Here is a 22915-nt window from a genome sequence, read left to right on the forward strand (position 1 = left end):
GCTATTCCCAAGAATTCCCAAACTACAACATAGCATGTAGAGAGCATGGCACATATATACATTTTTAATTGGGATCAGTCATTTGACCTCTTCCCCTTCTTTTGACTTGGTTTAAGCTGAGCCCCTTTTGGCCCATTTTAAAATTTCTGATAAAATTGATTTCAGGCCTCTGAGGGCAAGTGTTTTCCAAATTCTTTGAAAGAAAGCACATGGGCAATATTACGCACACCATTCTTTATTCTGAAAGCTGACTTGATGATAGGATAGGGGACTGAAATCAAACATCTCTTCACTAACACATTGACCCCCTCACTGAACGAAAGCATAAAAGCACTGAATTTTCAGGTTCTCCATCCAAAAACCGAACTATTAAAAGACCTGAATACACAGGCCACAAAAGAAGAAATCATAATTACTACACACTGAAGGCAAAGCTTCCTTTTCTGCTCCATCAGACTGCAAGCATTTTGAGAACGGGGATTCTGCCCAATGCATCTTTGTCTCCCATCGCCAATGCTAGAAGCTTTACACTCAGTAGTGTTGAAGTAAATCTTTATTAACTGAGTTAGCAAGCAGCCCTCAATAATAAAATCAATGCAAATCGTAAGAACAAATGATCATTTTCAACTATCAAATTAGAAAACATTTTCAAACTGTTTAAAGATACTATACCATTAACTGTAATAAAGCAAGGCTCAAAAGAGCATAAAGACTATGCATTTCTTAGAGCATAGAAAGAAATATTCCAAAATATTAACACCTACCTCTGGGAGGTAAGATAGGTAAGGTACTGTTTTTCTTATTCTTTGTTCACTTCAGTATTTTTCAACTGTAGTTCAACAAACATGTTCATGATCGGAGGAAGCAACATTTACAAACAAAATGGGTCCTTGTCCTGCTTCCTCCAGGATACTGCATGTGTGGACCACAGACCCTGGGAAAGCAGTGATTATTCTGATCGTTCTGTGCATGTGCTCTCTAGGACTAAATACCTAAGTGACCTTCATATAGTGGGCATGAATATGTGTAAGTGTGTACGTGTTGTCTTTCTTTTCTGTTTTATTTCTTTCTTCCCCAGCAGGTGTGTTTGAATAGCAGCCCATTACTGCTCGCTTGGTGCTATAAATATTTATAAGCATGCTCCAAGGAAGCTATTGTATCATAAACTGGCCAGTGGCATGGCCGGCTGCTATTTCAGAGTGGAGGTGTGAGACAGCTTCTGGGGAGGTGGGTTCTACCCAACACGAAGCGCTGCAGTCTGTGAGGCGTGAAGGTCTAGGCAGAGGTTTGTGAAAGATGTTAGTTCATCGCTGAAGTCGTGGACCTGATTGCTGTAGAGTAGGTTAAAGCTATTAAGTCCATGCTGCGTTATATTTGCCTTAGTTTACAGAGACAGAGTTTTGCAGTTCAGTTAGCCCTTTTAACACACAGGGTTAAAAGTATTTCCATTGGTAGTTTTAAAGAGGTGTGTGTGTGTGTGTGTGTGTGTGTGTGAGAGAGAGAGAGAGAGAGAGAGATTGAGAGAGAGAGAGAGATTGAGATTGAGGCCAACTTTAGTGTGATAAAGGATACTCAAAGCTTCTGGCCACTGAGTGTGCACCAAAGCCATGGAAATACCCTGCCTTCTCTGGGTGTGAAGGATGGAATCATGCGCGTATGGGAGACCCCAGAAATGAGGTCCTTTAAACTGGGACTCGGTACACCCTACACCAGAGAAAGGCTGAGCTCATTGCATTTGACCAGCACAAGTGTACAGGAGATGGCAGATACCCTCAACTCCAAGCACCTGTTCCAAACATTGCTAACACCAGAATGGTCTTTGGCAGTTAATAAATGACCTCTTGCCAGCATGGTGGCTCACACCTGTAATCCCAGCACTCTGGGAGGCCGAGGTGAGTAGATCACCTGAGGTCAGGAGTTTGAGACCAGCCTGGCCATCATGGTGAAACCCCTTGTCTACTAAAAATACAAAAGTTAGCTGGGCATAGTGGCGCATACCTGTAATCCCAGCTACTTGGGAGGCTGAGGCAGAAGAATTGCTTGAAGCCGGGAGCCAGAGGTTTCAGTGAGCCAAGATCGTGCCACTGCACTCCAGCCTGGATGACAGAGCGAGACTCTGTCTCAAAAAATAATAAAATAAAATAAAATAAAATAAAATAAAATAAAATAAAATAAAATAAAATAAAATAAAATAAGTGACCTCTCTGCCTCCCCAAGGTTTCCAAACAATTGAAGACTTACCTGAGTCTCATGCAGTCGTCAGAGCTCTGAATCTAGGTTCCAGCTCTGAATCTGAAACTAGCTTTATGCCCTAATTCTGCCCTGTGGTACTCAGAACAAGTCACTTAAACACAGACTTACTTTTCTCATTTGTAAAATGCACACATTGCACTAAATGTGTTAGAGCATGTAAAGTGTTCTCGACTGTGTTTGGTACATGTTAAGTGCTCAATAAATATTGGCTCTTATTTTATTATTACTACAGTAGATTTTTTACCTGGAGCAGGAATGCCTTAGTGGGGGCTCCACTCCTCCTCCTTCCTCCAATCCACCCATCCAGAGCCAAGCTTTCAATAAAGGTTTGAAGGCCTGGTGGTTTATCTGGGACATATTCCCAAGGAGGAGGAACAAGGGAGTGAAAGAGGGAGGGAAAACCCATGCATGAATGCATTATCCAGTTGGCCATCACCACAGGGAACTGATACTTAGTTGAGCTGGAGCTTCTGAGGAAATGAATGAAATGGATCTCAGAACAGTCTGCCTGGGGGTGAAAGGCAGAAGCATTTATTACTGGCTTAAGGCAAGGTGCTATCTTCTAGCACCTGCCCGGAGCTGGTTGAAATCTACTTGCAATGTTCACCATCAAGTACCTGTAACAAGGTGGATTCTAGAAGATATGACTCAGCTCATAAGAGGTGCCCCATATAGAAGGCTGAAACTTTGACCCTTTCTGGTTCAAACGCATCCAAGTCTGTCTGGAGGGCTGATGGGTGGGGGCCACTCACAGGTCTAACTTGCAAGATCTAAGGAGTTTGATAGAAATGACAGATGACTGCACACGTCAGAGCTGACAACTAGCCTGGCGAATAAGACCCCTCATGCATTAGAAAACAAATGCCACCCCTCAACAGCTCAAGAAGCACAGTGAGGGGTAGATACATGGGGTGGACATGTCAGGTGATGTGGTGATATGGAGGTCATGGGAGGAGAATGGGACGGTCTCTTGCATTAAGTGCTGGAATATTTGCTTTTGTCCCCACCCACATTGACCCCCCTCCCTCCATTGTCTGAACGTCACAGTCAAATGGTAGGAATTCCATAACCATGCAAAGTCAGAATATTGTGTCATGGAAGTTTCCAGAAGACCCTGAGAGCAGGAGACATAGAAGGACTTCTTGTTTGACCAGGAAGTAGAAATGGCCAATACAGGAGCATTTTACACCAGATTTTCTTAGAGTCAACCAGCCTTAGATACCTGAGGTGTGGGGTCCATCAAAATGGTCATCTGAGAAACCCAGGAATGTGGACACTGCATGTTTTGAGATACCCCAGAAGGAAAGATTTCTATGGTCCATCCTAGAAGGGTGATTCAGGAAATTCTATTTCATGTTATTGTTTTACTATTTTGCATCCTTAACTGTTAGTTCAAACAACAATGGTTAAAGTCACGCCTATTTCATCAGATTCGTTTGAGGATTACGTTAGCCAATATAAACGGGAAAAAACTTTGGTAATCTTAGAGAAACAAGAAGATTTCTTCTCCTCCTTCTTCTTCCTATTATTAGTATTACTGTTATACTATTATTTCTGTAAAACACCATTAAGGCATTTTAATCACTTTTAGTGGGAATCTTCCTAAAAATTTATGATATATATCTGGGAATTTTAAAACAAAAGATATAGAAAACTGATGTTTTCCATTGGTGTTTGAGATTCTGCATTGTTAATATCCACATTGGCCTCTACTGTCATATAGTGTTGATATGTGATGGGTGATTTGTCACTATCCAGGATGGTCCTTCACTGACATGGTTTTTATGAATTTTTGCCTCCTCCCTTAGTATTAGACTGTCAGCTGTCACCTTTTTGTTGTCAGTCTTCCTGCCTCCTGTTCTCTGCTATGTTTCTAATCAGTACAGTGACCATATATTGTTAAGTAAACATTGAGAGACAAGATCTGGCAGAGGACATTTGTATCTTGAATGTGTGGGGTGGGAACCGTCAGCATGTATGTACACATGTTTATGAAACAATTTGGAACATGCCTCTGGAAGCCTGAATACTAAAAACTTCTGAAACACTGTGTGAAATAATACTGTCCCTGGGAAATCCACTCAGGTAAACTGAAAACAGCTAGGGCCTTGCTGAAGCACCATGTGAAAAGGGCAAACAAAATGGCACCAAATGCATGTAGATTAAACGTGTGGCAGCACAAGGTCTGGCCTAAGAATGACATTGAATTACTCCATTCTCCCAGCCATTATAGAGGATACATTTGTTCACACACGTTGTCTTCACACATTCTTGATAATGCACAGCCATGTCCTATCTAAAGAATTTTATTGCTGCATATGTAAGCCAGGGCAGCTGGTAGGAAATTGAAAAATTCCTCCAAATCTTTAAAACTACTGACACACTTAATTTTGGGTTGGAGGATCTGGGTTCTGGTCAACCGAATGACTAAGCAAGTCACAATCCCTCAAAGAGAAATACTTTCTCATTTGCAAAATAAGGAGCCAGCCCATTTTTTAACTTTGAGCTCCTACTTCTGGAATGCAAATTTTCAAAGGAAAGGGACCTGAACGTTGAAAATCAGGATTTCGTCAAAAATAGTTGTTCATACTTGGGATAGCAACAGGAAGTTTTAGGCCAGCAAAATGGATATTAAAGTTCAGGACAGATGTCAACTTTGAATTTAAGCATTTTCTGTTATTTACTATACCCCATCTAGGCATAGCTAACTATAATGGTCAAAATATTTAAAAACTACTATGGCACACAGACCAGCCAATTAGAACAGATAAATAACCAGTATGGTTGTACTGAGGGTTAGGAGGGGCAGTGAATATCAGTTCTGGGACTGTCATTTTCTTGAGAGCACCATCTTTCACTACTTTGTTTGGTGCCTTTCTTGTAAAAACTGAAAACAAATGGGTGTTGTAGAAATGAATGATCGTGTGAGTGCATGAACTCAAAAATGTTACAAATAGGTGACGACTGTCAAAGTTTATGCCTTTAAGAAAGAGGAGTGGGAAGAGAGAAGACCAAGGAACAGCATATTTTCTGAGCAAGATGAAAAAGAGGATGCAGTTAAGGAAACAAAAAGGAGTGATTAAAGTGTTTGTTTGAAGAAAAACAGAACAATGTTCTTGTTAGGCCAGGGAGAAAAATATTTCATAAGGAATTTGGCAATCAACGATGTCAAATTCTGTAGAGGGAACCACGTCCTGTTGCTTTTGGCCTTCTGGTCAGTGTTTTTTGTTTTGTTTTGTTTTCTTTGCTTCCCTTAGAGAATGAAGACTAAAAAAAAAAAAAGAGGCTATGGAAATAACAGATCACCACAGTTTCTTCTTTAGCAATTGGTGCAAAAGTTCAAAGGGGAAGGGCAGGCATAGCTGCAATATAAAAGCTTATCTGTGGACTTTATCTATGCATGATATCTCTTTCACTGCAGTCATTCCACACATGCTGAGAAAGAGAGCTTAGTCACTGCAATCTACCTTATGTCACATTCATAGGATTTCTATTCTGCCTGCCTGGTTCTAGCTAGCTGCCAGAAGCTTTGCCAGATGTTCTAAATGTGGACATGGTTATTTAGCTCCTAGGGACTGCAGCCTCTAACACCCAAATCTAACAATTTTCACTGAGGGTTTTAGGGCATATAAATTGCAGATGATGAAGTGCACTTCTTTGAGGCCAAACAGAGTAATTGGCTAGAGTCTCTTACTGAATAAGCTCAGATTGGGCAGGGCGCGGTGGCTCACGCCTGTAATCCCAGCATTTTGGGAGGCCGAGGTGGGCGGATGATGAGGTCAGGAGTTCAAGACCAACCTGGCCAACTTGGTGAAACCCCATCTCTACTAAAAATACAAAAAATTAGCCCGGCATGGTAGCACATGCCTGTAATCCCAGCTACTCAGGAGGCTGAGGCAGGAGAATCACTTAAACCCAGGAGGCACAGGTTGCGGTGAGCTGAGATCACGCCACTGCACTCCAGCCTGGGCAACAGAGCAAGACTCTGTCTCAAAAAAAAAAAAAAAAAAAATTAAAAAGCTCAGATCACTGGTTCAGACCACATATAGTCCAGTTTGTGTGGCCTATGTTCTGCAGCTAGGCCTCCATCCACATCCACAGCCATCTTGCTAGCGTGTGTCATAAGGCCACAGGAGCACGAAAGTGTGCATGATCAGTATAATCGTTTACTGTTACTGAAAATTCTATTAAGCAAATATTCCACCATATCAATAACAACTCTCCTCTCCTCTTCTTTATTCTTTACCTACTTACTAAGCTGAGAACCTTATAGGCAATAATCCTCAGACCAGCTCAAGGAAGCAACAACTATTATTATCTCCAATGCAGGGATAAACACTATAGGTAGAGAAGTTGAGAGGTCATACAACTGGTAATCAGCAAAATCAGAACTGTTCATCTAGAAAGCCCAATTTTCTTAGTACTGTGTTTATCCTTTCTCATCAAAAGGGCAGCATATTATTGGAGTTTATAATGATTTTCCCATTAAGCCAAGTACATGCTAGCTCTTCACCTTCCTGAGAACAGAGACCACAGAGCCTTCTTCCAGGCCTCTGTCTCTTAGCCTCAGATGACTCCTATGCCTGTCACACTCTGTATGCCTGGTGAATCAAAGCACTGCCTGATTACACAAAGGAGAGTACTACCACTCTCTCCTGTGCATAAATTAAATATATATAAATTAAATATATATACATGTACACATTAGCCGCCATATCTCAACTTTAGACCCTACGTATGTTACTTTCACATTTCTATACCTGATGCCCTATTTTGAGAGGGAGAAAGGGAGAGAAAAAAGAGAACTATGACCAACATAACTAGTCATTATTGTACAATTATAGGGGATGTTTGTTCATGGAGCTTTAAAGAGTAGTTTGCTACTGTCTCCACCCTTGAAATCCTGACAAAGATTGTGGGGTACCCTCTCAGAATCATATGGGAAAAGTTTGATTTTCTTCTTTGACGATTGCAAGTATCTTCCTACCCAATCATTATCTAGATACTCCCTGAGGTTTGACATTTTGATATGTCATGTTGAAGCGACAAAGTAGCCCTTATAGTATTGTGTATCCTGGATATTCCTGTGCTATCCCCTTCTCAGGTAGTTGCCCTCATGGGGGAGTTTGGCCTAAGGAAGTGTCCACAGGTAGCACAGACTTCAATGCTAGCTTCACAACATTCTCCACTGATAGGTTCTAAGCACAGCCACAGAGAAACTCCATGTATGGAGAATTCTTGGGTTGAGCATTAGATTTTTGCTTCCAACAATATCACATGAGAAAATACATGTAATTTCAATCAACTTGCAACTTCACCTTCTTTAGATTTATAGAGCAGGTGTGTATATTCATTGATCCAAAAATATGTATTGAGGCCTTATTATGTGCCAGGCACTGGAGAAAACATGGTGAACAGACCAGACACTTGCCTTCATGGAGATTACTATGTAGTGGTAGAGACAAACCAAATAACCACTGGGAAAATGTAAAACTATGTCTCAAATAATTGTTTATAAAAAGAGACAAGGAGACTTCTACTTGTGGGAAAATAGAATGGATATATATATTTTTCATATTCTGTCTGCAAAACATCCCCAAAACATTGCAATGTGTATACAAGACAAGGATTTAAAAAAAAAAAAAAAAAACTATGAAAGTTGGAGGGAAGGCAGGCTGACTAGGACCCAAGAAATGCAAAAACAACAGGGAGATGAGTGTCCTGGAGTTTCTTTTTGTCTCACACATACCAAGTTTGAAGCTGAAGAAGCTGTTAATCAAGAAACGTCATAAGACAATAACAATCAGCAACAACAACTTACTGGGGAAGAGACAGAAACTGATTTCCAGAGTTGCCACATATTATTTAAAATGTCGTTTTAGCAATTAAAAATATGAGATACGCAAAAACATAAGATGTAAGGCCCATATACAGGACAAAGGAAATCAATAGAAATTATCTGTAAAGAGGTCTTGTCATTGAACTTATTGGACAAAGACTGCAAAACAGTTACTTAAATATGTTCAAACAACTAAAAGAGACCATGTTTAGAGAACAAAATGAAAGCAGGTGAATGATGTTTCATGAAATGGAGAATATTTAAAGGGAGAAATTTTAAAAAGAAGGAAATAGAAATTCTAGAGTTGAAAAGTACAAAAACCCAAATAAAACAAAATTGGAAAGGGATTTAACAACGTATTTGAGCAAGTGGAAGAAAGAACCAGCAAACTTGAAAACAGATTAAGTGAGATTATATAGGCTGAGAAATAAAGAATGAAAGAGCAAAAATGAACAGAACCTCAGAGACTGAAAGATGCTATCAAGCATAGCAACGTATGCATAACAGGAATCCCAGAAGTAGAGGAGACAGAGAAAGGAGAAGAGAAAAGTATTTGAAGAAATAATGGCCAAGAAGTTCCCAAAATTGATGAAAAGCATCATACTGCAAATCCAAGAAACTCAACAAATTCCAAGTAGGATAAACTCAAAGAAATGTATAAGTAGACACATATTTAAATTGTTAAAGGCCAAAGAGAAAATCTTGAAAGCAGCAAGAAAATAACTGCTCACATACAAGTAATTATCAATAAGATTAATAGCTGACATCTCATAAGAAGCCATAGAGAACAGAAGGCAGTAGAATTACATACTCAAAGTGATGAAAGAAAAAGACTGTGAGCCAAGAATTCTACATCCACCAAAACTAACCTTCAAAAAAGGAAGGAGAAAGACACTTCTAGACAACCACAAACTGCGAGAAATTGTTGCTAATAATCCTGCCCTATAAGAAATACTAAAAGGAGTCCATTAAACTAAAATAAAATAGTAACTGGAATTAACATAAAAAATACAGACAACTGATAGAGGTAACTATGTAAGTTTACATGTAAGAATATATTTTTATTATGCTTATTTTTTCTATCTGATCTAAAGTAAACTACAAAATGCAATTATTATAAATCTATATTCTTGGCCACACATGTATAAAGACGGAATTTGTATGATGCTAACAGCACAAAGAGGAATGGAGGGAATGGAGCTAGATAAAAGCAAAATTTTTGTATGCTATTGAAATTAAGTTGATATTAATCAAAACTAAAATGTTATAAGATGCTAACGATAATCTTCAGCACAACTCTAAGAAAATGGCTCGAAATATAAGAAATGACAAGGAAAAATGGTTCCCTATAAAATACATAGAAGGAAAAATGATTCACTATAAACTAACTCAAAAGAATACACCAATAGAGGGATACAGGAACAAAAAATTAAGACATATAAAAAATGAATAGCAAAGTGGTAGATATAAATCCTATCTTATCAATAATTGCATTAAATATAAATGTATTAAGCATTCCATTAATAACAGAAACTGACAGAATTGATAAAATAAACATCCAACTATATGTCATTTATGAGAGACACAATTTGATTTAAATATATGAAGATTTTAAACTAAAAGGATGAAAGAAAACAAAATGTTTAAAGTTATTAAACACAAAATATTTAAAAGGCCAATAAATTAAGAATCTATAACAATGATAAATATACATATATATTTGTCCTAACAAAAAAGCCCCAAAATTCATGAAACAAAACTGTAAGAATTGTAAGAAGAAATAATTCAAAACTAATAGTTAGAACATCAATACCCCACTCTCTATAATGGATAGAACAACTAGAGAGAAGACCAACAAGGGAATAAAAGATTTGGAAAACACTATAAACAAAACTAGAAGTTGTTTCTATGAAGATATCAACCGACGTGGCAAACCTTTAAGTAAACTGAACAAGAAAAAATAAACAAGAGAAGACTCAAATTACTAAAATCTTGAATAAAAGTGGCGACATTACTGGTTATGCTAGCAGCCAAGTTGTCACATGGAACTCAGGACCTCTCGTTAGCCCAGGGTGTTGCAGGCAGTGGAAGTAGCTGTTGTTTTCTCATTTTTTGGAGCAGGTTTGTTCTGAGTTGCTGTAATGACTTGAGTTTGTTGGTCTCCAGCCAGGAGGTGGCGCTTTCAAAAGAGTATATAATGGCGCTTTGGAGAGGTGTATAATCTTTCAAGGTGGCGCTTTCAAGGGGTGTATAATCTTGCCCTATGGTGGCCATGATAAGTACTCGGGTTTCTTAGGTGATGGGCAGGGCCATAGAGCTCCCAAGAGATTATGTCTACAAGTCTTAGGAGTTTTTCAGCTGTCTTGAGGCATTTGCAGCCAGCAACCTGCTTCTTTCAAAGGGTTTCTGAATTATTTCAGTTTTCCTAGTATGTTCCTGTGGTGGTTCTAGGAGCAAAAGTTTACAAAGTGAGTCTCCAGCTGATGTTCTGTCTGTCTAAGCAGGAGCTACATGGTAGTCTTGTCTTCTATCTACCATTTTTTTTTTCCGGTTTTGTTAGGTTTTCTTTTTCATGTCTCAAGTCTAGAATAAAGACTTACAAATGATCAACCATTTTTAGTCATTCTTAAAGGATACATTTTTCCCCATTCTATGGGTAGTTATTTCAAAACTCTAAATGTAATGGTGCATAATGAAAGGATAAGGAAAACATTAGGGAAAAAAAAAAACCTTGTATGTATCCCCACTGTCTCCTTCAGCAGAAAATTTTTTTTTTCCTATTTTATTTGAGGATGTCACTCTTTGGAAGTCTCCATTTTATTCCAGGTGTCTCTAACTACTGTCCTGTGTTGGGTCAAGCATTGTTTTTTGTTTTTGTTCTTTGGTATACATGACCCATTAAAATCCAGATTATAAACTATCCTGGCTGGAGCCAGATCCTACAGATCTGCACTTTTATTTAATGTCTTATTTCTAAGAAATCATCTTATTCCTTTTTCCCTGCCAGATCAGCCATGCAGTTTAATCCAGTGTATTTTGTTCTACACTGGGAGAAATTTTTATGATCTCTAGTTCACCATATTGCTCAGCTTCCTAAGAGATTCCCTGGTTCTAAACTGAAGGGCTTAAATTAAAAGTGAGATTAAGAGTAGAAATGTGAGGACAAGTTAGAGTTATTGCAATAGCAAAAGTCTAGGCAAGAAATTGTAGCTTTAACTGCTGTGTACTTGATAGAAGTAGATCAAAGTGGATAGATTTGAGAGATACTTAAGTAAAATCAACATTACTTGTGGTGAATTGGATGTGTGAGTTGGAGAAGGATGTTAGGGATAATGCCTATGTTCAGGATAATGTTCAACTTGTATAACTGGATGGACGGCAGTGCTCATCACTGAAAGAGGAACCTAGTTAAGAAAGTAAAAACTATGGGTTCTGTTTTGAGCCAAATATGGTGCCTTTGAGACCCTACGTGGCATATATGTGTCTGAAGGTCTGAGCTAGAGGTCCAACTCTGAACCAGAAATAAAAACTCATTTGACTGTGTAATTGAACTTCCTGGGCATGGGTGAAGTTGCCCAGGAAGAGGACACAGAGTGGAACAAAAGCAAGGATAGGACCAAATCTTGAGGACCTTAACCTCTAATGACCAGACAGTGGAGACTGAGCCTGCAGAGACAGAGAAGTGTGGTCAACAAGTTGGTAGGAAGTTTTAAAGAGGGTAGTGTTTCATTTTATCCCATTCTTTCTTATACCTACATTCAGCCATATTGGCATTCTCACCATTCCCTATAAGCCTTGCTCTTCCTTTCTTCTAGGACTTCATACATGCTATTCCTTCTGCCTTGAATATTCTCCATCCCCTTCTCCCTTTCCATCTTCCAATATTACTTCTGATGAACTCCCATACATCCTTTAAGGTCTAACTCAAATATCAGAACTTCTAGGTAGTCTTTCTCAAATCCTGCCCTAAACCCATTCTAGACCAAGGTTTATACCAGGTTTCATTGTCCTTTTATCTTCGTTGCATGTATCATATTGTATCTCAATTTTCCTTAGGCTATTTAACTACAGTACCCTCTTAATTGCAGGATGGATGTCTTGTATAATACCACTGTTCTTCCAGTACCTAGCACAGCACTTGGTTCACAGTTGAATTATTTTTTAATAAAAAGACTTAAAGAAAGTAGATCTCCAACAGGGTGCAGGACGCATCTGGACAAAGAGAAATCAAATGACCACCTAACATTAGGAAGACCTAAGGTGTTCATACACACTAAATCAAGGCAATTTGGGGCTGCTCACAGGTAACTGTGAGGTAACAATCAATATATGCTCACACAATTACCTCTCCCTTTTCCCTTCCACTAGGAGCCATGAGGTTGTTGCCTTCAGTGACATCTGCTCTTCCTATTCCCATTACAGTCTTGCCCATATATTCTCAATTATATGTTACATAAATAAAATATTATGGGATGAATGTTGTGGTCTGTATGGAGAAGACATCATGTGATTTGTCTTTAATCCTTTGGCTTTCAAAACAATTCCCTGCAGATAACAACACTGAAGAAATTAAATGAATTCAACTAAGAAAACTAAGGAAATACATGGCATGAGGGTTAATGAGTCAACATCAGGGTGAGTGCCGTTTATGGGGTAGTTGGAGAAGTGAAAGGGGCTTGGAGTAGAACTGGTGCTGAGAGGTACTGTGGAAGGAATTAACTGGAGAGGAATTTGCAAAGAGGTAACAAGGTGGTGTGTAGGTGGAGGGGATGGGAATGAGGGATGTCTAACAAAAGAGGTTGGCCATCAGGTAGATCATTTGCTGGGACCAGGAAAGTTGATTGCAATGTCCCCAGTGATACTCAGCATGTAGGGGCTGTCCCTAGTTCAGGTTGCCTAGAAGGGTGGGATTAAGGGGCAATTTCAAGACTGTTTGGGTTTTCTTCCCAATGTGTTAATGCTTATTATGACTGAAAGGGGATGGCAAACAGCTTATGCTGCTGCTAACATCAGTCCATAAGAAATTGGGACAATGTCAGCAATCTGAAGCAGTTCTCTGGGGGTACATGTGAAAACGTCTAAGTGAAGTCTATTGAGTCTTGAGTGAAAGAACTGTAACCTCGCATGAAATTGTGACAGATGGCCATCTATCAGCACTCAGCAGCCACAGCACCCACAGTCTGCTATCTTCAGCTTAGTATCCAATTCTTCTGCTTATCTAGCTGTACATTTTCTCTTATTCATCATGTCCCATTATTTTCCCACACAATCCCTTTCCTGGCAAACGTAACTACATATGGTTCTACAAACATGCCATGCGCCTTCCTATTTCCAATGCATATTTAGGTTTTTTATGTGAGAAGTGCACCTCTCTGATCTACTCAAACACAATTTCTATGACTCCTTTCCTAGATCTACCCTCTTCGTATCATACATATACATATGTATGTATGTTAATATCTGCGTACAAAATCACCCAACTACATGCCTGGCAGCTCATGGCAGAGCAAAAATAACACAAACGTTCAGCCTATAGACTGGCTTAGAACCTGATTCTGTCACTACCTGGCACTATGATCTTGGGAAATTTATTTAACCTCTCTAACTCTCAGTTTTCTTATTTATTATACTTACATCATAAGGATTTAGAGAAGATTAAATACTTTAACATTAAAACACCTAGTACAGTTTCCATGCATAAGAAATGTTAATTCTGGTTTACTATAGAAAGTACAACTTTCTATACACTGGCCTAAGTGTGGTTCTCTTACTATTTGGTAAGCTCCAGAAGTAATGTTATAGATTCAGCATCTTCTTTCTCTCTCCAAAGTGAACTTCTCATTCAACAAACCAATTATGAATGAAAACAAAAATGAACAAACACATGAATAGAAGAAAATTCCATGACCATTTCAAGTTTGTCTGATCTGCTTCCTGGGCAGCATAAGTTGTGGTATTTTAAACAAAAACAAAAGCAAACTCAAAGGCCGATGACCCAGCTGAGTTATTTTTTGCTATGTTAGTCCCAAGGACCAAAATGACTTTGTAATAACCCCGAGGGAAAAACTATACTTTGCAAAGGTCACAGGGAAGTCCAGGCGATATGTCTCTACTAACTTAGCAAAGGTAAGAGCTTGGCTTCAAATCTAGACTCGTTCAAAGGTTGACCTTTGTATTATTTTTATTAAAAAATATCCCTTCTGTGTTCTGATTTTGACTCTGTTCTCCAGTGGCTTCAGAAGTCACTTCTCTTCTTGGCATCATAATTCCCTCTTTTGTAAAGGGAGCTGGGGTGGCTTTGCAGGAGAGATGCCATGGTGATTGGGAGGACAAGATGAGACCTGAGTATCTCTACAGATCTCCTCCAGCTCTGGAGCCTGGCTCTGTGCACAAGGACACACAAGCCCCTAGAATGCAGGAGCAGTAGTGAGTATAAACCAAGGAGCCAGTAGAAACCCTGTGGAAATGTCACGCTGTGCCCAAGACTTAACTCCCCAGGCCCAGCTTTATCAAGTCTGAGCTGAGTTTTCCTTACTAATTTGAAACAGGCAGCCAGGGAAGGAAAGTCATGAAATAAAGCAAGCAGAGTCTCTGCTCTCAGGAGCTGAAGAGGTGCTAATTGTTGCTAAAGATCTTATCGGATCCTAGTTAGAGGCAGTGTTTAACCTCTGACTCCTGGTTGCTGCTCCCCACAGGTCTCAACACCTGCAGTGGAGAAAAGCCCTCTTCCCTCCAGACCTTTCCACACTCCTGCAGTCTACAGAGGAATGGCCCTTCCTGGGGAAAATCCGTAACTGGTGAGAGGCCAAGGAGCTAGCATCAGAGAGGAGGCTTCCACTCCTCAGGGCTCACATTGCCTCAGAATCCCTCGAGTGACTTTTGAAAGCCAGCACAACTATCTAGGGCTGCTCCCTGCCTTCTGCACACCCCTGGAGAACCACAATTTGAGGGTGGGGCCTAAGCGTCTGTATTTTTCATAACCTTTTCTTTTTGTATTGAATAGTGTAGAGGCAGCCTAAAATAAAGGTTAGGAACAGCCTGGGCTGGCTGGGTACATTTTCTAACTTTCCATCAACAAGCTTCAGACAAGTCATTTAATCTTCCTAGGCTTGTTTCCTCATTTGCAAAATAGTGATAGGGACTATATCATGAAACTGTTATGAAAATTAAATCAGTATTTGTAAAACACTGAGAACAGTGTCTGGCACATAGTAGGCATGACATACACATACAACTTTGCTAAATAAAACTAAATAAATGTCACTGCTTCAGGCTTTTATGTAATCCAGAGGCTCTCAAAGTATACATGTCAAGGCCAGAAGCCCCAGCATCACCCAGAAACTTTTCCAAAATGCAAATCCCTTTAGCAACACCCCAGACTTATTAAATCCAAAGTTCTAGAGGTGGGACTTGGTAGTCGGTTTTCACAAACTCTCCAGACATACACTAGAGTTGGAGAACCAAGGCTCTCAGTCATTCACATTCCTCTTCTTCAACAAACATCCCCTTTGTTCTCCCTGGGAGATGTGCAAGTTATTCTAGAACTCCAGATTCTCCTCAAAATGCATTTTTTATTTATGAACATTCTTTTGGTAACAAGTGGCAGGTACCCCATTCAAGCCAATTTAAACCCCAAAGAGGATTTATTGCCTCATAAAACAGAAATGCCCAGTGGTCATAACATCCAATATTTACTGCCCAGCACTATTCTAAGCACCTTATGTATATTAACGCACTTAATTTTCAGAACAGTTCTATGAAGGAGATGCTATTACTCTCTCCACTGTAAAGCCAAGGGAACAAGGAACAGAGAGGTACAGGAACTCACCCAAGGTTGCACAGGAAACAAGTGACGGCCTCGAGGTTCCAATGCACAAGGCCATGCCACAGCAGTGCTCTCAGTCACTTGCAAGGAAAGGCAGGGTCCAGGCACTCACACTAGGGAAGCTAGCTTAGTCCATTTGTGCTGCTATAACAAAATACTACAAACTAGGCAATTTAAATCATGGAAATTTATTTCTCACAGCTCTTGGAAGTCTGGGAAGTCCAAGATCAAGGTACTGCCAAAGTCAGCGTCTACAGAAGGTTGGCTCTCCTTTCACGACAGTGCCTTGTTGCCGCATTTTCACATGGTGGAAGGAGAGACGGCAAAAGAGATAAATGCTGTGTCTTCACGTGGCAGAAGAGGTGGAGGGCTGAATTTGTCCCCTCAAGCTCTTTGGTAAGGCACTAATCTCATCTATGAAGAGGGAGTCCTCAAGACCTAATCACTTCCTAAAGACCCCACCTCTTAATACTGTTGCATTAGGGATGAAGTTTCAACATAAATTTGAGAGTGGACACAAACATTCAAACCATGACAATAGCTGCTTCCATTTTTCTCCATTCTCAGGTCTTGCTTTACGTTGGATCATCCCCAGTCTCAGGCAGGTAGTCCTTGTGCAGGACCCTGGGTGGTCCAGCATAACGCCTTTGTATATGATTGCATATAGAGGCAAAGGGCTCCTCTCCCTCAATTGTCCTAACAAGAGCCAACGAATTGGCTCTGATTGCACTGACCTGTGCTTCAGGTTCTCCCTGGACCAATCATTGGAACGGACTCTAGAGGATTGCAACCGCCTTTGCAGAATTATTACTGAAACAGTGAAAGAGATCTAACCTAACTGACTCCATCTTGCTTCTAACCTTTAAGCTTTGTTCATTCCTAGGCATAGGCTGAACTAACTTTGGGAGGAACTTATAGTTTAAAATGAAGACAACAACAGCCATTTCCCAAAATAAACCTCCTTCTTGCCTGGGGACAAGATTGCCTTTGTAGGACTAACATTAGCCAAAAGAGTAGAAATTATGGTTTAGGAGTCATGTAGCTGGAGGTTAAACTGCCCCTAAGATCAGTGCTTGAGATATTTTGCAGGCCCTGCACTTGATAGATCAGCTGGCACCACCCAGACTGATAAATCAGCACATCTGATTTTGCGGCCCCCACCCAGGAACTGACTGAGCACTAGAGGACAGCTTCAACTTCCCATGATTTCGTCTCCTACCTAACCAATCAGCACTCCTGGCTCACTGGCTTCCCCCCACCAAGTTGTCCTTAAACACTCTGATCTCCCAGTGCTCAGGGAGACTGATTTGAGTAATAATAAAACTCCGGTCTCCCACACAACTGGCTCTGCATGAATTACTCTTTCTCTTTTGCAATTCCCCTGGCTAGGCCATAGGCAAGGTGAACCCATTGGGCAGTTGCAGATTAAATATGTCATTTGGCCAGGCTGTGTCACATGGCCACAAGGGCCCACAGGGCCCAAGGGTCTGGAGGGAGCTTTCTCCTGAGTGATATAAACCAGAGGAGGAAGGCTGGCTAGGCAACAAATAGCCATGCTACATGCTAGGCCCTGTTTCAAAAGCTTTCTAGATATACAATCACTGACTCATCACAATAATTCTATGACACAGATACTGTCTATACCCTATTTTTCAAACAAGGAAATGGAAGCAGAAGACTAAGTAGCTTGTCCACGGACACCACATAAGTAGTGAATAGCAGAACCTGCATTGGACTGCCTGGCTCTGGAAGTCTATGCACTTAGCAGCTAGACCAACCTGTCACTGATGCTTTTGTCAGTTCTGAGTTGAAGACGCTCCTCACCATATTGGCCAGGTTCAGCTTCCTTCAAACATAAGAAGACAAAGAGACTTACCCAATCTATCCCATCTGGGAGTTTCTCCAAATAACAGTTGCCTTCTTTCTTTACTGGCTACAATATTGCAAATACCACAAAGGAGGGTGCCTAGATTTTAGCAACTAAAAACACAGGGCACTCGGTTAAATTTCAACTTCAGATAAACAATTTTTTGTTTGTTGAGTATAAGTAGAATCCATGCAATATTTTATCTGGCAACTCTACCTCAGAGTGAGATTTGTACCTAAGGTGCCTAACTGTACCAGTTTGCCCAGGACTGAGTGAGTTCCCAACACATGGGAGTTTCAGCTGAACCAGAACCAGTTGGTCACTCTGCACCTATCCTAATGGTCTACTCACAGATTTCAAATTGGCAGCACTCCAACATTGTCTAAAGCCAGCCTCTCTCGTAGTCAGTTGTTTTCTGTGATCACACTCTTATCTCTAGGGATCATCCACACCTACAATTCACATGGGTCTCTGCCTTCCAGTTCCTCTGCTCAACGTGTTACCCTGATGCCTTCAGAGCAGGCTGACTATGGCTGACCATGCAAGAATGAGAGCCTCTTCCCTATCCTCCTTAGAACTTCCAACAGCCTCTTGTTCCTCCAACAACAGCTCAGTATGTGAGAGCTTCTGGGAGTCCACCAGCAAGCTTCTGGTGGACTTCTAACCCTTCTAATGAATAGAACCTCAAGAAACAGAGGAGGGCTAGGGAGCTTGCCCAGGAAGCATGAGGATTGAGGCTCTAGTTTTGACTTTTTTCCATTGTACACCTGTGCTGCAACACCCCAGAGCATTCTAATGCTAAAGCTTCCTGTTCAGTCTTCTTTATCTTGGCTGGCTTTCTTTGTGGAGCTGAGAGCTCATGGAACACCCAAGGTTGGAAAAAGAAGATAGCTCTGCCAGTAGGGAAGCTGCTCCATTTAGCAAAAGCTGAGAGAAGGTAACATGGCTATCACTTACCATTACATCCCCACTCAGATACATAAAGCAGCTCTTATCCAGAGGGCAATCTCTTATCCAGTGTGCCAGGCAGAACTCTGATCTCCCCCTCAGTCAACAGTTAAACAGTCAGTGAACCAAACATTGATTCATTTACACTGGGCCTTTCTGAGCTAAGCTGGCTCCTGCCTTGGGTGAACATGGTCCAATATGAACCAGGCTTTGGGCTCTAGAATCCTTTTGCCACTACCCTTCTGCCCTTGAACCTTTTTTTTTTTTTTTTTTTTTTTTGAGACAGAGTCTTGCTCCATCGCCCAGGCTGGAGTGATATGGTGCGATCTCGGCTCACTGCAACCTCCGCCTCCCAGGTTCAAGCAATTCTCCTGCCTCAGCCTGCTGAGTAGCTGGGATTACAGGTATGTGTCACCACACCCGGCTAATTTTTGTATTTTTAGCAGAGACAGGGTTTCAATATGTTGGCCAGGTTGGTCTCAAACTCCTGACCTCAGGTGATCCACCTGCCTCAGCCTCCCAAAGCGCTGGGATTACAGGCGTGAGCCACCGCACCCAGCACCTTGAACCTTTTTAATTCCTCTTTCTATTCCTAGAAATGCTTCTTTTCCTAAACTTGGCTCCTGTAAGCCACAACACAGTAAGTAGATGTGTCCCTTCACACGTATTTGCACAATCTGGCATTTCCCCCACTCTCTCTGACAGCAGGGCTGTGGTTTGAATGTCTATCTCCTCTAAAACTCATGTAGAAATCCAATCGCCAATAACAGTATTAAGAGGTGGGACCTTTAAGAGGTGATCAGGCTATAAGGGCTCCACCCTCATGGATGGAATTGGTGCTGTTATAAAATGGTGAGTTCACTCCCTCTTCTTCTCTCACCACCTTGCCTTCTGCTGGCTAATAAAGCAGCAAGACGACCCTCCCAAGGTGCCAGTACCTTGATATTGGACTTCCCAGCCTCCACAGCTATGAGCCAATAAATTTCTGTTTGTTATAAATTACTCAGTCTCAGACATTCCCATGAGACCATCACAAAATGGGCAAAGACAAGCAGAAACCTTGTCTGTCTTCTGGTCACTGTTCTCTCCAAAGTTTAGAATTGTCCCTGCCATGGAATAATAGCAGTGTGTTAAAAGTTTAAAAACACAGACTCTGTTCCAATAGCCAGAATTGTTTGGGCTCAAATCCCAGATCTTCCTCTTACTAGCTACATAACTCTGGACAATAACTTCCCCTTTCTGTGGCTGAGCTTCCCCATTTGTAAATGATGTACAAGAGTACCTCTTTCATAGGGCTGTTTTAAGAACTGAGTCAATCTGTATAAAGCATTTAGAATTAGGTATTTAATTAAACTTAGATGAATAAAATATCTGAGCTCCTCCTGTATGCCAGATAATGCAGGTGTCGAGGATAAAAAATATATATATAATCCTTGTCCCCAAGAATCAGAGTCTGATGGGGACCTGAGGTAGGTAAATAGACACAGACTAAGTGTCTTAAAGGAATTATGTACTTGGTTCTAGGGTAAGGCACAAGAATTACCCATATTTGTCCAGGAGAGTGAAAGAAGGCTTCAGAGTGTAGGATAAGTGAGAGATGAGCCTCAAAGGAATAGAAGGAACTTACAAGGATTTCACAAACCAAAGACCAGCACTAGACTGGACCAAGCACTTCAAGGGCGGGAGTCAGCTCAGTTCAGGAAAATTTTGAGGCTAGGGAAAGGGGTATAGTTAAGCATATTTAAGGAAATGAGGAATGATCCAGTTCAGTTGGGGTGCCACCTCTATGCTACCTTGGTAACTGGCATTTGCTCCCTCCTGTAGGCTCTGTATTTAAGGAAATGTGACAACATAAGTGGATCGAGCCATATGAGTTTGGACAACCAGGCAGCTATGATGTGGCAGAACCTAGGAGTGACAAGCTCCAATGGATAGACCCTGTCTTGGGAGTTTAGTAGAGATGTGCATGGAATTTGAAATCAGATAAACTCAGGTCTTGTTGCATGAGGCAAATTACTTCTCTCTGATCCTCTGAATCATCATCTCTAAGATGGTTTTATTATATGGATTGCTCACTTTGAGGATTACCAAATACCAGATGCTGAATAAGCAGTTAATAAATGAAAGTTATTATGATCCATAATTCTCATCTCTTCTTCCTGATGTCACTTAACAATATGTTCTAAAGATATATAATAAAGATTGAGAGCTGTTTTTTATATTGCAAATGAATCCAGTTCTGTTGATTACTATGTATCTTTCTCTGCACCTTTTCCCCATTCGTAAAATGGGGAAAATAAGGGTGCCATTCCCATGGGATTATTTTGTAAATTGATGAGGAATACACACGAAGCACATAAAGTGATAAGTGATCAACGTATATAAGCTGCTTAAAAAGGAAATGATATTAATATTGTAGAGACTTAAGATTGCAAAGACGTCATTGAAGATGGGACAAAGGTGTACACAGGCACTGGAGGGAAAAAGCTAGGGATGCCTATCAATGGCACGACTTGCCTTCTCAGAGAGGGTAATATCCAGAGACAACCTTGGACCAGCTTTCAGGAGGCCTTACACAGAAGCTGCAGACCAAGATTGGAGGCCTACTGCTCCCCTCATGAACCCCACTGCTCCCCTCATGAACCCCAAAGCCTCCAAGAGAGACTAGGCTATCTGCTGTCTCTTGATGGCAGGGAAATGAGGGTGACATGCTATAAGTCCCTAGCACTGACATCTAGACTTCGAGGTATTATAACCCTAGAGGATGTTGTCAAACAGACTCATCAATTCCACCCCCAGCTGGGAATACGCTGTGTTCACAACAGAGACAGCTGCAAACACCAAAACACCAGGATTGAGATGACAATCTTTATTTGCTTGTTTTTTTCTTTTTGCTAAGAGGAGAGGGAATTGTTTTCAGAGCCTGAACCTAGCCTCTCCATTTTTTAAGTTGTCGGCTTCTCTTATCCCACTCCAGCCAGTGTTTCTAACAAGAACCCAGCAATCTTCAGGATTCTCCAGTGACTAACTCTTATCCTCTCCTTCCCCCACTCCTCCCTGCCCTTCTGGGATCCATCTAGTTAGCAGAGCAACAGTTCTCACCCCTCCAATGGGCAGGAAAATGTAGCGTACTATAAACAGCATAGAATTTCCAGCCAGGAAGCCCTCAGTATGAATTTCAAATTTGCCGATGACCAGCTATGTGACTCTACAAGACAGTTAACCTCTTTCAAGCCTCAATTTTCTTGTCTGTAAAATGTGAATGATAATAATTCTGATTCCAGTAACTATTGTTGTATAACAAACCATCTCCAGCTTAGTGACATTATACAACCATTTGATTATACTCATGGATTTTGTAGATCAGTAATTTGGAAAAGGCAGAGTAGGCAGCTGGTCTCTGTCTTTGGTGTCTGGGGCCTCACCTGGGAAGATCAAAGTTTAAACATGACTTTATAAATGAAGTCTGGAATTGCCTGAAGGCTTTTTACTCAGATACCTAAAGCCTAGATTAGGAGGACTCAAAGTTTGGGGCTACCGGTGAGAGCACCAACACATAGCTTCTCCAGGCTGCTTAGTGTCCTCACAACACTGTGACTCAGAGTAGTTAAACATCTTATATGGAGGCTCAGAGCTCCAAAGGTGATTGTCCTCACTGCTGAGATATGAGCAGCAGCACAGTGGAAGTCATGCTTTGTCACCTCTGATGTGTCTGTTGGCTGTAAAGAGCCACAAGCCTGCCCAGATTCAAAGGGAGGGAAATTAGTCTTTACTTTTGATGAAGGAATGCAAAGCTCTAAAACACATGGGAAGGAAGATATTGTTTCAGCCATCACTAGAAAATAGATTTTACATATTCCCCTATAGAATATCCATGAAGTGGAAGATATTGCATGTAGGCAACCTTGGCAAGTGATAGATGTTCATTAACCTGCTCCCTGCTCCTCAAGTTAAGTTGAAGTGCCAAAATATTTCCTTGGTGATTTTGGACAGCAGCCCTTTTGAAAGCTTTTATAGTCAAGTTTCTCCTCTCCCTACAAATCAGAGAATCCTTAGGTCATTCCACATATCTGGAACTAAACTGGATCTATATTTGCTTTCAAATAATAATAATAAATTGATAACAGCCTGCTAAATGTCAGGCCCTATTCTAATACAACACTTGATCTCATTTTCTTTTACC

The 22915-nt window shown here is 40.8% G+C and overlaps 2 long non-coding RNA genes across 3 annotated transcripts in view; one reads left to right on the top strand and one right to left on the bottom strand.

The window, feature by feature from the left end:
• The window catches only part of LOC102724465 (uncharacterized), a 379687-nt gene that overhangs the window by 289604 nt on the left and 67168 nt on the right, over positions 1–22915 (bottom strand). The window lies entirely within an intron of this gene.
• Positions 3508–20960, top strand: LOC124903580 (uncharacterized). Of its 2 annotated transcripts, XR_007064795.1 has the most exons (6): positions 3508–3584; positions 12644–12727; positions 14788–14889; positions 16119–16313; positions 19019–19136; positions 20557–20960. It is a non-coding gene; the product is annotated as an uncharacterized LOC124903580 (long non-coding RNA). The 2 variants fall into 2 exon arrangements; XR_007064796.1 differs by lacking the exon at positions 3508–3584 and having other exon boundaries at positions 10691–12727.

Source organism: Homo sapiens, chromosome 15 (genome assembly GCF_000001405.40).
Source record: "Homo sapiens chromosome 15, GRCh38.p14 Primary Assembly".
In the NCBI taxonomy this organism is placed as follows: domain Eukaryota; kingdom Metazoa; phylum Chordata; class Mammalia; order Primates; family Hominidae; genus Homo; species Homo sapiens.